Raw genomic sequence first — 15,097 nt, forward strand, 5'->3', positions numbered from 1 at the left:
TGGTCTGATAAGTCTAGCAAAAACAGCAAGGCATGCCCCCAACTTCTGTACTCTCACTGAAAAATACTGTCAATATTTCTAGTTACCCTCCCTGTCCAATGATCAGTTATTCCATGGAGAGGACAAACGCTGGTGGCATGAACAAATAGAACAGGTTGGGCTAACTCTCTTCAGGCAATGCCTCAGAAAGAAAAAAATTAACTAAGAATCCTAAAAGCGACCCACTGAAATGCTATGTTAGAGGCATCAACCTGTGCTCCTGACCAATAAAAATCCCACTCGGCGGGTCACAACAATTTTAAATAACACTTTTTTTCTTCAACTTTTATTTTAAGTTCAGGGGTACATGTGCAGGATGTGCAGGTTTGTTACAGAGGTAAATGTGTGCCACAGTGGTTTGCTGCACAGATCATCCCATCACCTAGGTATAATATTAAGCCCAGCATCCATTAGCTGTTCTTGTGGTGCTCCCCCTCCCACCACCTGCCCAACACCCACATGGACCTGTAGGGAGAAACAGTAACATTTTATTTTCTATGGGCACCGTGTCTACCCTTGAGATTGTACTTGCATAAAAGCCAGAAAATATCTTGCCTCCATCCTAAAGACACAGTAATTTCCCCTTATAGGGGTGGTCATAAGTGACCTGAAATTGTTTAACAAAATGATTTCTACCAGTAAATCATTTAAACCTCAGATGACTTCAGAGATCTCTGCAAAATGAGGGTTCCTTTGGCTACTTGAAGAAGCTTTCTGGAAGAATAACTGGCTCATTGTTTTAGTAGATCCTACAAAAAAAAATAAGTAGGTTTTTCTATAATGAGCATCATCCATTTAAAAAGTCGGTATGAAGTTTTTTCTTAACTTTAGGTAAAGTGATCAACGACACCAAATATGAAATGGAAAGGCATTCAGGGCAATGCCAATTCATTAGTCAAGGTTGTTATGGATGATGGGATTGCCTTAGGCTTCCACCTTTCAGACCAAAGCAGAATCTGTGTCATCACTAATCATAGATTACTAGCTAAGGCCAAGTAGAAATGTCAATACAACAACTTAAGGAGAAAGCAAGCTGATTTTTAAAGATAGATGCTGATGTTTTATGGAATTTGTTTAGGTGGTTGAGTTCTGGATCGTGGGGATAGGGAGGGAGGAGACACGGTTGAGGTTAATACTCCAGATTGACCTCATCTTGCTAATTGGAGTCCTATTCATAGTAATCTTAATTAAATACTGTATGAGACAAATTGAATGGAGTTGAACTCACTCATCAGTTAGATTAATCAAAGTAGCTGAAGTAGTGATGAACTCATGGGGGAAATTAAGTAGACATCAAGATGGTACAGAAATGAAGGAAGAGTAGATCTTGTTGACAGGCAATTCTCTATGGGTCTCTTGCATTTCTACTTATCTTGTAAGCAATGATACTAACACCTTTGTTTTGAACCACCTTTTCAAGGCTCTTCCTATATTAACAATGTCTCCTTCCAGGACAAAGGTCAGGCAGGTTTGTTTAGAGACCACTATGAAAAATTTGAGCTTCCAAAGCTCAGAGTTTCTTTCCTGTGATGCAACCGCCACATATGCAGGAATCACCTGACGCTTTTCATATCACCCTGTGGTAATTGAGACTTAAGAACTGGTCAAGAAAATCATGACACTCTGGCTATACTGTCGTTGCTGTGAGTATCACGCCATCCATTGTATTAGACCCAAGAGTCTCATATCTTTCACAGTATCTGTAAAACTGTAATAGGATAACATCTTGATTTGTAAGTAGGGAAATATTTGAGACCCTCAGCAGTTCTTAACAGTTTATAAAATTTCATACCATTCATAGTTTCTGATAAAAATGTTTTTAAGGAACGCTTGTTTGAAGGCTTTGGAATGCTACTAAGATTGTGAAAAATTTCAGGCCCAAGATCTAAGAAAGAAAGGAGACCCTGGAGAAGTGAAACCAGTATTTTAGCACTTTTCCCTTTGGGATGGTTTCTGATCCATTTGCCTTAGTTCAATGCCTTAAGGAAAAACAGAATAAAATTAATTTATCTTCAATGTAGTGGTACGTGTAAGTGTTTTAACATATCCTCCATGAATGTCCTCCGGCGTCTCTTTTTTGATTTCTCATTCTCTTCCTTCAGTGTTCTTCATAGGAAATAATCTGGAGTCCATTCTCTCTATCCTGCTTTGTCCTTCCTGAAGTAAGTTCCAGTTTGTCAATATCTTATGCAGAATGTGGCATTCAGAAATAAGGACAATTCTTCTAGTGAAATAACTGATGCTTATGTAAGTATAACAATGTGTTACTGGTGAAATGAATCAACATAGTAAATTCTGCTATAAACATACAACAAAATATCAAGCAACAATAAAAATGGTATTATCAAAGAATCTCTGCCTCTCTTTTTCTCTCTACTGGGTTGTATAGTGCTCCCCTTCCCCCACAACCCCCCTGCCCCCCAATCCATGTTTACTTGGAACTCCAGAATGTGATTTTATTTGGAAATAGGGTCTTTGTAGATATCATTAGTTAAGATCAGGTCATACTGGATTAGGGTGGGCCCTAAATACAATGGCTGGTATCCCTTTAAGAAGGCCATGTAAAGATACATAACCACAGGGAGAATGCCACATGATGACAGAGACAGAGACAGAAGTGATGTGTCTATAAGCTAAGGAGTGCCAAAGATTTCTGGCAACCATCAGAAGCTAGTGAGAGACAAGGAAGGATTCTGCCAACATTTCATTTTGAACTTCTGGCCTCTAGAATGGTGAGAGAATACATGTTGTTGTTTTAAGCCACCCAGTTAATGGTAATTTGTTGTGGCAGGTCTGGGAATCAAATGCATCTATCTATATTAAATTTGTATTGCTGCTTTAAAAATTATCAGAGACTACTGGCTCAAGATAACATAAATTTATTACATGACAGTTCTAGAAGTCAGAAGTCCAAATACATTGGGAAGACTGCCTGCCTGTCAGAGCCTCTAGAGGAGAATCTGTCCCTTGCCTTTCCCAGCTTCTAGTGGCTTCCCTCATTCCTTAATTCATGACCCCGTTAGCATCAGTCTAAACTCTGCTTCTGTCTTCGCATCCCCTTCTCTGATTTTGACCCTTCTGCCTGCCTCTTATAAGGACCTTTGTGATTAGATGGGGCCTACCCAATGCAATCCAGGATTTTCTTTTCCTTCCTTCCTTCCTCCCTTCCTCCCTCCTCCCCTCCCTTTATTCCTTTTTGACTGAGTCTCGCCCTGTCCCGCAGGCTGGAGTGCAGTTGTGTCATCTTGGCTCACTGCAATCTCCACCTCCTAGGTTCAAGAGATTCTCATGCCTCGGCCTCCTGAGTAGCTGGGATTACAAGCATGTGTCACCAAGCCCAGCTAATTCTTATATTTTCAGTAGAGACAGGGTTTCACCATGTTAGCCAGGCTGGTCTCGAACTCCTGACCTCAAGTGATCCACTCACCTTGGCCTCCCAAAGTGTTAGGATTACAAGGGTAAGCCACCATGCCCAGCCCAGGATTATTTCCAAGTCAGGCTCTCACTCCCATCTGCCATACCTCTTTGACCATGTAAGGTAACATATGCACAGTTTCTGGGGATGAAACAGGAAAATCTTTTCAAAGTCATACCTATCTATCTATCTGTCTATCATCTATCATGTATCTATCCATCTACATATCTATCATCTGTCTATGTATACATATATCTCTATCTATCTAGCTATTTGTACACATGCATATGAGAATGAGAATGATAGTAGGAAGGCAACATCCCTAAATGTCAAAGTGATTATTCCTGTATAAGTTGTTTTTATTTATGTTTTTAGTAAATACATAAAATATATGTTGTGCCATTTTACATGCCATACATGAAATAATGTTGCATCAGCATCTTGAATACTAATTAAAATGTTGATCTGAATGCCACAGAGAGTAATCCATATACTTGTTGACCTACAATTACACTTGCATAAGTTTAAGGTCCAGTCAGGGGCCTAGACTTTGGAAATGATGCTTAGGCCATGGATTGGGAGACATGCTTTCCAGTCAGAAAGTTCAGCATCTCCCTTTGATTCAGTTTCATTGGATAAATTTGTTGTTTTACTGGACAGCTGATTTGTCTTTTGCTCATTTCACCAGGGCATTGATATCTGCTTGGTGTTAGACATTCTTCTTTCAGACACAGGGCAGACAGACATGACTAACAGGTTATTCCCTCACTCTAGGAGCACATGGTCTAGAGGGGAGACAGATGGAGAGCCAAGATTATAGCATAATATAGTAAATGTTGCAATAGATCTAGCAGTATGAAAGCATCAGTGTTCACGTGTCAGGGCACTGACGGAGATTTAGTGATGAATGAGTGATGTTAGGTTTATTTTAAGTGAAAAGAAAACTAAAAAGTCTCAAAGACATGAACACATTTCTACAGCCATAATGATGACTCCTAGAACTGCCAAAGCTTTAAGAGAGCCCAAATGCCACAATTCACTGGTTAGACACACACGTAAAGGGTAAGCCATTGCCTGGGCTATTTTCTCAAAACTGGGACTTGCCCGAGGGCTCCTCCTCCTAGACCTTCTCCCTAACCTTCCTGTGGTTAGTGATTGAGAAGCATTTCTTTCCCAAGGTGTCTGCAGGGGAAGAACAAATTGGCAAATGGCCAAGTATCATACCTGTTTGGTTATGCCTCATGTGGACCTGGCTCTCAGAGGAGCTGTTAATGGAGCAAGTACTGATGCCTGGGATTGCAAATCCTCCTCTACTTCACGGGGCATCTTTCCACCCCTGGGGCTTCCTCTCCACCTGCTGAAAGCATGTGAAGTTCCCTGGTGCAGGTGCAGCTCGGCATGTTGAAGGAAGTGATCCATGTATCCTAAATCTTTGAATGTATGTCGAGTCAATTGAAGATTCAGGAAAATACATGCTACTCATTTGCCTCTGTTGTGCAGCATAGTAGTTAATCAGGAACTAGACTGCCTGCGTTCAAATCCTAATTTGGGCATGTTTATTAGTCTCTTTATGCTTTGGTTCAAGTATAAACTAGCAATAGGATTGCTATGAAGATTAGATCATTCAATGCATGTTAAGTGATTAGCAGAATGGCAGAAAAAAAAAACCCAATACAGACAATCTCTAAACTTTCTAATATTCAATCCTTTATTAATTAAATCAGGGCTGAATGATTTTTTTTTCCTGGATGGCTGTGTTGCTGACCATGAAGGTGGCAGACATTTTTAGTTAGCCCCGGGGTGGGGTGGGATGTCACAGACAACCAATTTCACATTGTGGGGGAGCCAATCAGCAACATAGCTGCTGTGCTCTTTTTGGATGTTAAACATTTGCTTGTCCATCTCTTTCATGGACATGTGGACCCTGAAAATGGCAGCCATCATTAGGTAGCAACCATGGTGGAGGTTGCAAGAAGCCATCATGTTCTTGGCAATGAAACATCTGCTCGGTGAGCTCAGCCACCATCAGGCCCAGTAATGGTGGCTACCCTGGCTGGTCAGCAGGGTAAAGCCAGGCATGAAGAAGTACAGGCAGGGAAATGAGACCATGTTCTCAGCCAGTTTCTGTAGGTCAGCATTTAGCTGGCTGGGGAAGCACAGGCAGGGAGTGACCCCACTCCTGGTGGGAGAAACCAGGTGGTTCAGGTCACCATAGGTGGATGTGGGCAGCTTTAGAGTTCTCAAGCAGATGTCATAGAGAGCTTCATTATCAATGCAAAATGTCTGTGTTTTGTCTATGTTTTTTTTATGAGGTGGTGGACTGAGAGGGTGGCAGGCCGGGTTTTCAGTAGCAGCCAGTTTCCACTCATCTTTTACTATAATTCTGACGAATGCACACGTTCAGCATTAAAGAACTGGAGAAACTGGCCCCTGAGTACAAAGATTGCAATGCAAAAACAAACCCATTAAGATCCCACCTGAATTTTCTTAGCTCCTAAAGTCTGATAAAATAATAAAAGCATTCTTACATATACACCTCATACCAGGGCCCACTTAAGATTAATAAAGTTTCCAAGGCTCTAGAGAAACCTTTTTAGAGCCTAAAGATTAGATGTAGATTGAATGAAACACTTCTGTTTGTAGGTACACTCCTACACATAGGCATGGAGCTTAAAATGTACATAAGCACTGGAGAAAAACTTGTAACTTTGAGTTGTTCTGGTGAGTTACTTTGACCTTCTCCCTGTAACTGGTTGCACAAATAAACTCCCTTCTTTTCCAGTCTGTCTACATCTTGTTATTGCACGGCAAGAACAAGCAGTTGGACCTCATTCATCAGGGACCACCACCACTGTGTTCGACACCTTGGGCTAGGGAAGAATGCTGAATGTGTTCATGATTTGTCTGGGTACTCCTCCCAGATCTTGCTGATGAGAAGGGTATCCATCCCAGATCCAGTCCCCCCACCCAGGGAGTGGGTCAGCTGGAAACCCTGAAGGCACTCACAGCTCTTAGCCTCCTTCCTCGCAACATCCATCACTGACTCCACCAGCTCTGAGCCTTCTGTAATAGTAGTGGGCCACTAGTGTGCCTTGGCCCGGTTGTTCGCTGCACCACTCTGACCGAAGATGAAGTTGTCCGGCCTGAAGATTCGCCCGAAGGGCACAGAGTCCATGATGCCGGGCTCCAGATCCAAGAGCACAGCGCGGGCACCGCTGGGTCCCAGAGGTCAGTGTACCAAGGGGGTCCCTCCCTGGAAGGGCACGGCAGCCCAGCCCTCCCCACCCCTCCGGGCCAGGCCGCTGGGTCCCTGGGAGAATTGTCTCCTTGCTGCAAGCTGCCCAGCTCTGCCATGTCGCCGGCGGGGAGCCCGGGGGCCACAATGCAGGGCCACCACCGCAGCCACTGCCAAAGCGGAGGTGGTGGAGGCAGCCGCGGCGACTTTGGCGTCAGGAGAAAGGCCGGAGGGAGGAGTCCTTACTATGAGTAAGAAAGAGGTAGTGCTTGGCACTTAATGAGAAAAAGGTGTCCAAGGCTAGAGTTCAAGTTTTTCACAAGTACATAGCTAGGTAGGAAATAGACACTACCCTAGAGACAATGAAGGAGTCAAGTTAGGCGTCTTATAATAGAAGAAATTGAATCAGAGGGGCAAGGTGACTTTGCCATGACATTAACATCCCTTCCAATGCTTAGCTTCTCTTTGTCTCCAGGATTGTATTCAAAGAGTGATATCACAGACAACAGAACCACAAGGACTTCAGAGAATGGAGAGGTCAGTTGTGTTGGTGGGAAGTGCAGTTGAGAGTTCCAAGAATCATTTAGGCAACAAGTTCCATGGCTCTGAAGCACTACTGACATATTTCAATTTTGTGAAGTATGTTGTTCTAGGCTTTCCAGAAAAAAAATGTATAAATAAATATATTCCATATGTTTATATAAAGAGAGATAGAGAGGGAGAGAAGAGATCTGCTATATGCATTCCATTTTCCTTTTCTTTTTTCATTTTGTTGCTTCTTTTGATGTTGTTATTGCTATGCACATGTGTATGAGTGTGTGTGTATGTCTGTGCACTTTTGCTTTTCCTGTAGAAAATTTCAAAAGTCCATAATATAATCTTAGGCTATGTTGTAGGTAACACAATAATCATAAATAATATACATAAATCTGTATTTTTGAGGTATCTACTTTTATCAATATGTTGAAGTTTTTCTTTGAAAATGAGGAAGTGAATATAATTACATTTCCTCTTAATTTTCTAAATGAAAACATTAATTTCCCACTTTCTGATATTTATATTTCTAATATTGTTAGAGTTTATAATGTTTTTGCTTTTTTTTTGGTACCCACAATTCTCATATTGTTCTTAGCCTTGGTTCTCTATTTAAATAGACTCAATGTAAGTTAGTAGTTTATTCATACAATTGACACCAAATTTCTGAGTTCTTTTGTTTGATTAATCCTTGAAGGTCAATGGCTATTTCTTGGCTTTATAGTTCTGTATCAGTTTTCTGAAAACACAGTGTATTTTTTTGAACTTCACATGCAAGTTTTTTATATCTTGAAAAAGTATTTTTTCATTATATATTTGAATGTATGTTCTCATTTATTCCATTCTGTTTTTAAGAAACCAATCATGTGAAAGTTGGATGTCCTTTGTCTTTTTGACATAAATATCATTTTCTCTGTAATAATTTTAATCTCTTTGTAATTTTTCCACTATTTTTGCATGATTTTTTCCTCAAGCTAATGTTTTTTTATTTTAAGCTATATCTGTTCTAATATTGGTACTTTTGAGTCTTTTTTATTATCTTCCTTTTTTTCCTGAGGTATGGAATAAAGTTTTATCACTTTCTATGATCTTGAAATTTTTTTATTAAATCTGTTTTTTTTTCTTTTACCTTGGGTAAATACCTAAGAATGAGATTTCTGGGATATAGTGCACAGGAATGTTCAACTTTCTAGATAATGCCAAAACATTTTTTTCAAAGTGATTGTGCAAAATTGTACCTTTCAGAGAAATGTATAAGAGATCAAATAAATTCATATCCTCTCTAACATTTGGATTATATGACTATTTTTTTTTTCAAATTTTGTTTTTTTTCAACTTTTATTTAGACACAGTGGGTACATGGGCAAATTTGTTACCTGCAATACTGCATGATGCTGAGGTTTGGAGTATGGACCCTGTCACCCAGGTAGCGAGCATAGAACCTGAAAGATAGTTTTTTTAAAATCTATTTCTCCCCTAGTAGACTCCTCTAGTAGTCCACAGCATCTATCATATTTATGTGCATGTGTGCTCAATGTTTAGCTCCCACTTATAAATGATACAATGTTTAGTTTTCTTTTCCTGCATTAATTCACTTAGGATAGTGGCCTGCATCTCAATCCATGTTGCTACAAAAGACATTATTCTGTTCTTTCTTATAGCTGTGTAGTAGTCCATGGTGTATATGTACCACATTTCCTTTATCCATTCTACCATTGATGGGTGACTGGGTTGATTCTGTGTCTTTGCTATTGTGAATAGTGCAATGATGGACATACAAGTGCATGTGTCCTTTTGGCAAAATAATTTATTTTTTTTTTGGGTATGTGCCCAGTAACAGGATTGCTGGGCCAAATGGTAGTTCTGCTTTAAGTTATTTGAGAAATCTCTAAACTGCTTTCCACAGGGACTGAACTAATTTAAATTCCCATGAGCAATGTATAAATGTTCCATTTTCTCTACAATCTCACCAGTATCTATTATGTTTTGACTTTTCAATGACAGCCATCCTGACTGGTGTAAGATAGTATCTTGATTTGTATTTCTCTGAGGATTAGTGATGATGAGCATTTTTTCATATGTTTGTTGGCCGCTTGTTTGTCTTCTTTTGAGAAATGTCTGTTCATATTCTTTGCCAATTTTAAAATGTAGTTATTTCTTTCCACTTGTTGATTTAAGTTCCCTATGGATTCTGGATATTAGGCCTTTGTCAGATGCATAGTTTGCGAATATCTTCTACCATTCTGTAGGTTGTCTGTTTGCTTTGTTGATTGTTTATTTTGATGTGCAGAAGCTCTTTAATTAGGTCTTTCTTGTCAATTTTTGTTTTTGTTGCAATTGCTTTTGGGGACTTAGCCAAAAATTCTTTGCCAAGGCCAGTATCAAGAAGAGTATTTCTTAGGTTGTGTTCCAGGATTTTTATAATTTGAGGTCTTATATTTAAATATTTAACCCATTTTGTGTTGATTTTTGTATATTGTGAAAGGTAGGGGTTCAGCGTCACTCTTCTGCATATGGCTAGCCAGTTATTCCAGAACCATTTATTGAATAGTGAGTCCTTTCCCCATAGCTTGTTTTTGTCAGCCTTGTCGAAGATCCGATGGTTTTAAGTGTGCAGCTTTGTTTCTGAGTTTCCTAATCTGTTTCATTGGTTTACGTGTCCTCTTTTGTACCAGTCCCAAGCTTTTTTGGTTACTGTGGATTTATAGCATACTTTGAAGCCAGGTAGTGTGATGTCTCTGGCTTTGTTATTTTTGCTTAGGATTACTTTGGCTATTTGGGCTCCTTTTTGGTTCCATGTGATTTTTAGAGTGGTTTTCTCTAATTGAATAACACTTATGTTTTCTATTTAAAGCTTTGTTTGACGTTAAGTCTTTAATCCATCTGATACGGTCTGGCTCTGTGTCCCCACCCAAATCTCATTTTGAATTGTAATCTGAATTGTAATCCCCGTATGTTGAGGGAGGGACCTTATGGTAGGTAATTAGATCATGGGGGCAGTTCCCCCATGTTGTTCTTGTGATAGTGAGGGAGTTCTCATGAGATCTGATGATTTTATAAGGGACATTCCTCCCTTCACTCTGCACTTCTCTCTCCTGCCACCATGTGAAGAAGGAGGTGTTTGCTTCCCCTTCTGCCATGATTGTAAGATTCCTGAGGCCTCTGCAGCCATGCAGAACTGTGAGTCAATTAAACCTCTTTCCTTTATAAATTACCCAGTCTCAGGTATTTCCTTATAGCAATGAGAGAATGAACTAATACACCATCTGACATGGATTTTTGTATGTGGCATGAGGTAGTCTATTGTTCCTGTATTTGCATCAACTTTTTTTAATCGGCTCCATCTCCATTTAAAACAATTTTTTAAATTATACTTTAAGTTCTGGGATACATGTGCAGAACGTGCAGGTTTGTTACATAGGTATACACGCACCATGGTGGTTTGCCGCACCCATCAACCAGTCATCTACATTTCTCCTAATGCTATCCCTCCCCTAGCTCTCTACTTCCTCATAGGCCCTGGTGTGTGATGCTCCCCTCCCTGTGTCCATGTGTTCTCATTGTTCAACTCTCACTTATGAGTGAGAACATGTGGTATTTGGTTTTCTGTTCTTGTGTTAGTTTACTGAGAATGATGGTTTCCAGCTTCATCTATGTCCCTGCAAAGGACATGAACTCATCAATTTTGATGGCTGCATACTATTCCATGGTGTATATGTGCCACATTTTCTTTAACCAGTCTATGAACAGTGCCACAATAAACATACATGTGCATGTGTCTTTATAGTAGAATGATTTATAACCCTTTGGGAGTATGCCCAGTAACGGGATTGCTGGGTCAAATGGTATTTCTGGTTCTAGATCCTTGAGGAATCACCACACTATCTTCCACAATGGTTGAACTAATTTACACTCCCACCAACAGACTTGGTGTTCCTATTTCTCTACATCCTTGGCAGCATCTGTTGTTCCCTGACTTTTTAATGATCGCCATTCTCACTGGCATGAGATGGTATCTCATTGTGGTTTTGATTTGCATTTCTCTAATGACCAGTGATGATGAGCTTTTTTTGCATATGTTTGTTGGCCACATAAATGTCTTTTTTTGAGAAGTGTCTGTTCATATCCTTTACCCACTTTTTGGTGGTTTTTTTTTTTGTTTGTTTTTTTCTTGTAAATTTGTTTAAGTTCTTTGTAGATTCTGGATATTAGCCTTTTGTCAGACTGATAGACTGCAAAAACTTTCTCCCATTCTGTAAGTTGCCTGTTCACTCTGATGACAGTTTCTTTTGCTGTGCAGAAGCTCTTTAGTTTAATTAGATCCCATTTGTCAATTTTGGCTTTTGTTGCCATTGCTTTTGGTGTTTTAGTCATGAAATCTTTGCCCAGGCCTATGTCCTGAATGGTATTACCTAGGGTTTCTTCTAGGGTTTTTACGGTTTCAGGTCTTAGGTTTAAGTCTTTAATCCATCTTGAGTTAATCATTTGGATTTTGTTATATAAGGTATCCAAGTTAATAAGATAATCCTAATTTGTATTGTTCATTTAAGTAAATCGAGGTGCTGTGATATTAAGTTAGTGTTAGGATAGCATTTAGAAATCAAATTGTTGCATGTCTTGCATTCATTTACTCACCTATTCATTTGTCAAATATATATTTTTTCACCTCTTATATATATGCAAGTATCTGTGTTACATGCCAGGAGAATGCACAAGTGAAGCACACCCTGTCCTTAAATAGTGAGATAAGGATATCAATTAGGTAATTAAATGACTGTCATTCAAAACAGAAATTAGTAAGTACCATAGGAAGAATACAAAGCAAGATTCTTCAAGGGAGAGAGATACAGAGAGAAAAACAGAAATATTTCATATCTTGACCAGGAAATCAGAGAAGAAATTTGATAAAGTATTTTATATAGGCAGGTCCAGAGGGGAGTAGGTGACCTGGCTTTTCATAGAATGTGGTGAGTCATTCTGTAGAAGGCTTGAGATAGTAACTATGGGTAATCACATTGTAGGGAGAGGCTGAAGCTTAATTATGGAGTGCCTCATATCACAAGCTAAGATTTTAAATTTCATCCTATGGTCCACAGAGAAGAGAGCCTCTGAAGTTATCTATATAGGGTAGTTGAATGATTTTGAATGATACGAGTTGTGTTCTAACAGAAAATATTTCAAAAACCTTTTAAATCTGCACAGTTGTAGACTGGATATCACTTCAAAAAGTGAGAGCTTCTTCCAAATCACATTCTATGTACATTCTGGTTCCCTAACCTGAGGTCTGTCCCTGATTCTGATCTGGCACTTTTGTGGCAGTTTGTGTTTGATGATTGCAATTTGTTCAACTTTATCTAATATTCTTCTAATCTCCTGCCTGCCACTGAAATTGATGTGTTTGGTCACGTTTCACAAATGAGGAAGTCAAAATTCTGTGAACTAGTGTGGTCCCTGCTGCCTTCCATGTGGGCAGAGTGAAAATTGGATTTTGCTACCAAAAAACAGGGCAAGCAGCTGCTGAGCCCCAGGGGACCATAAAACCTGCCAGAATCTTTGCTTCTCTCAATCTAAGCATGGCCAAGACCACTTTTTAAATTCTGTGTGAGATCCACTATGCATGAAATTCAATAGTTTCCAAAGATAAATCTGGTTATCATGACCAAATACATCCAAGACTAAGAGAATAAGAATGGATCTTTTTTAAATCAATAATTTTAAGCAAATTAAAAAATATAACTCCTTCAAAAGTTACTTCAATTAAACACCCTTTTGTCACGGCCTTTCTCAGAGTGATGATTCATCAGTGATCACTCACGTCAGTGAGTTTCTTGACCAAGTTAGGAAGAAATAACAGATACAGTGTGAGATTGCAAAATCCATTTCTTCCTGATAAATGCACTGAGTTTTCACTTATCCAGGTTATGTAACAACAGGCAAAATATGTTGAGCTCTTTGGTTTCCAGGGAGAAAGAAACACAAGCATTTCACTCTTGCATGACAAGCCCACAGAAACATATGAATACACACAAATATGTGCAAACACACACACACATACACACACATATATATACATAATGCATACACAACCCGCACACATTTGTATATTATTTTGAAACACATTGCTAACAAAACTCACATGTGTAATTTTGTATACATATACCCTTATGTAAATAAACAGATAATAGGCACACACATGAGGCACATACATGCAGACACATATGAAGGCAAGTACAGAGTAGAAATACAGCATAAATACATAATGCACTCCTTTGAAGTTTTAAAAGAAGACAAGGACAGTATGTAACATTATGTAACATTAAAAATGAATATGTAAGATTAAAAATGAATGTGTAATCACTTTGCTGTTAACTGCAAAAGCATTAATGAGCAGGTTGATATAAGGGGATCTGTTAAACTCATATAAATACCTTGAAGCAGTTTCTTGGTCTAACGTTGACTATAAAAATTATTTGATTAAGAATACATTACATAATCTCTGTATCAGTTTAGTGGGATAACGTATTGTGACAACATCAATTTAAGGGGTCTGGTGAAAATAATGAAGGTGAGAAAGATGCAGGCTGGTGACCACTGACTATGGGACCTGGCATTATAAGACTGAAACCTCAAAAAAATCGAACTTTCAGAAAGTCTGTCCAATTCTCTATGAAATATCAAAATTGCTAACCGTAAAGAAGAATATGAAAACAATAACGACTGATTGTCATCTTACAACTTTCACTGTGATGAGTAAATGTGGGAGAGTGACGTGCTGTGAAGAATATGAGCAATAGTTTCCCCATGTTGAAATAGTCGGCAAGTTCTCCACTCTATGCTATAGTAACAAAAATAGTTCAGGTTTTGCATAACATGCAGAAGAGAGGGAGATAAGATGATGGCAGCATTAATCTTGACCCTATGGTGCACTGGGCTGCGTTCAAGGTGCTTTCATATGTTACCTCATGATAATTTTTTTTTTTTTTGAGATGGAGTTTCTCTCTTGTTGCACAGGCTGGAGTACAATGGTGTGATATCCGCTCACTGCAACCTCTGCCTCTCGGGTTCAAGCGATTCTCCTGCCTCAGCCTCCCGAGTAGCTGGGATTACAGGCATGTGCTGCCACGCCCAGCTGATTTTGTATTTTTAGTAGAGACGGGGTTTCTCCATGTTGGTCAGGCTGGTCTCGAACTCCCAACCTCAGGTGATCTGCCTGCCTTGGCCTTCCAAAGTGCTAGGATTACAGGCGTGAGCCACTGCACCCCGCCCTCAAGATATTTTTGAGATCTAATTTCTATACTCATACATAGTTCTTCTTTAAAAGATAATTTAATATAAACTCAGAAATTTTGAACTCTGTTACTCTCCTTCCACTCTGGACTCTTCCAAGCAAAATGGTATACGACAGATTTTTTTTTTTTTTTTTTGATAGCAATTGTGTGATGTTTTTTTCCCCTGTGTTTAAACAAACATGTCTTCACTTAGAGTGCCCTGTGATAGAGGTAAAAAACATAAAAGATATGTGTCTTTCTGGCTTATATATCTTCAGGAATTTTGAGTTTTGGCATGGGGTACTCTGGAAGCTAGTCTTAGCTTATTTGGAATCTCTAAGTTTCCAATCTAAGGACAAAGACCACAATAGTAACATGCATTACATATATAAGATTCTCACTGCTCCCTATTCTCCATATAGTTCTGGGACATTACAGTCTTCTGCTGAGAGGTGGATGAAATTAATGGCAAAGCATTTGAGGAGTTATTGGCATTGGGAGTTTGTATGTATGAAAACTTTTCTGAGTGAGAATTGGTCTGGGGCATTGAGTAATCCCAAAGGATAGAGAAATGGCAAAATGCTAATCACATTTCTTTGGATTTGG

General features: G+C 39.2%; 1 annotated feature.

Moving 5' to 3' along the window:
* Nucleotides 6,703–7,203: an enhancer, noted in NCBI's record as "H3K27ac-H3K4me1 hESC enhancer chr2:17036591-17037091 (GRCh37/hg19 assembly coordinates)". NCBI's record gives its function as "activates a minimal SCP1, AML or CMV promoter by ChIP-STARR-seq in naive H9 embryonic stem cells {active_cell/tissue: H9 hESC(naive)}" and the evidence as "EXISTENCE:reporter gene assay evidence [ECO:0000049][PMID:30033119]".

This window comes from Homo sapiens, chromosome 2, assembly GCF_000001405.40.
Source record: "Homo sapiens chromosome 2, GRCh38.p14 Primary Assembly".
Lineage (NCBI taxonomy): Eukaryota > Metazoa > Chordata > Mammalia > Primates > Hominidae > Homo > Homo sapiens.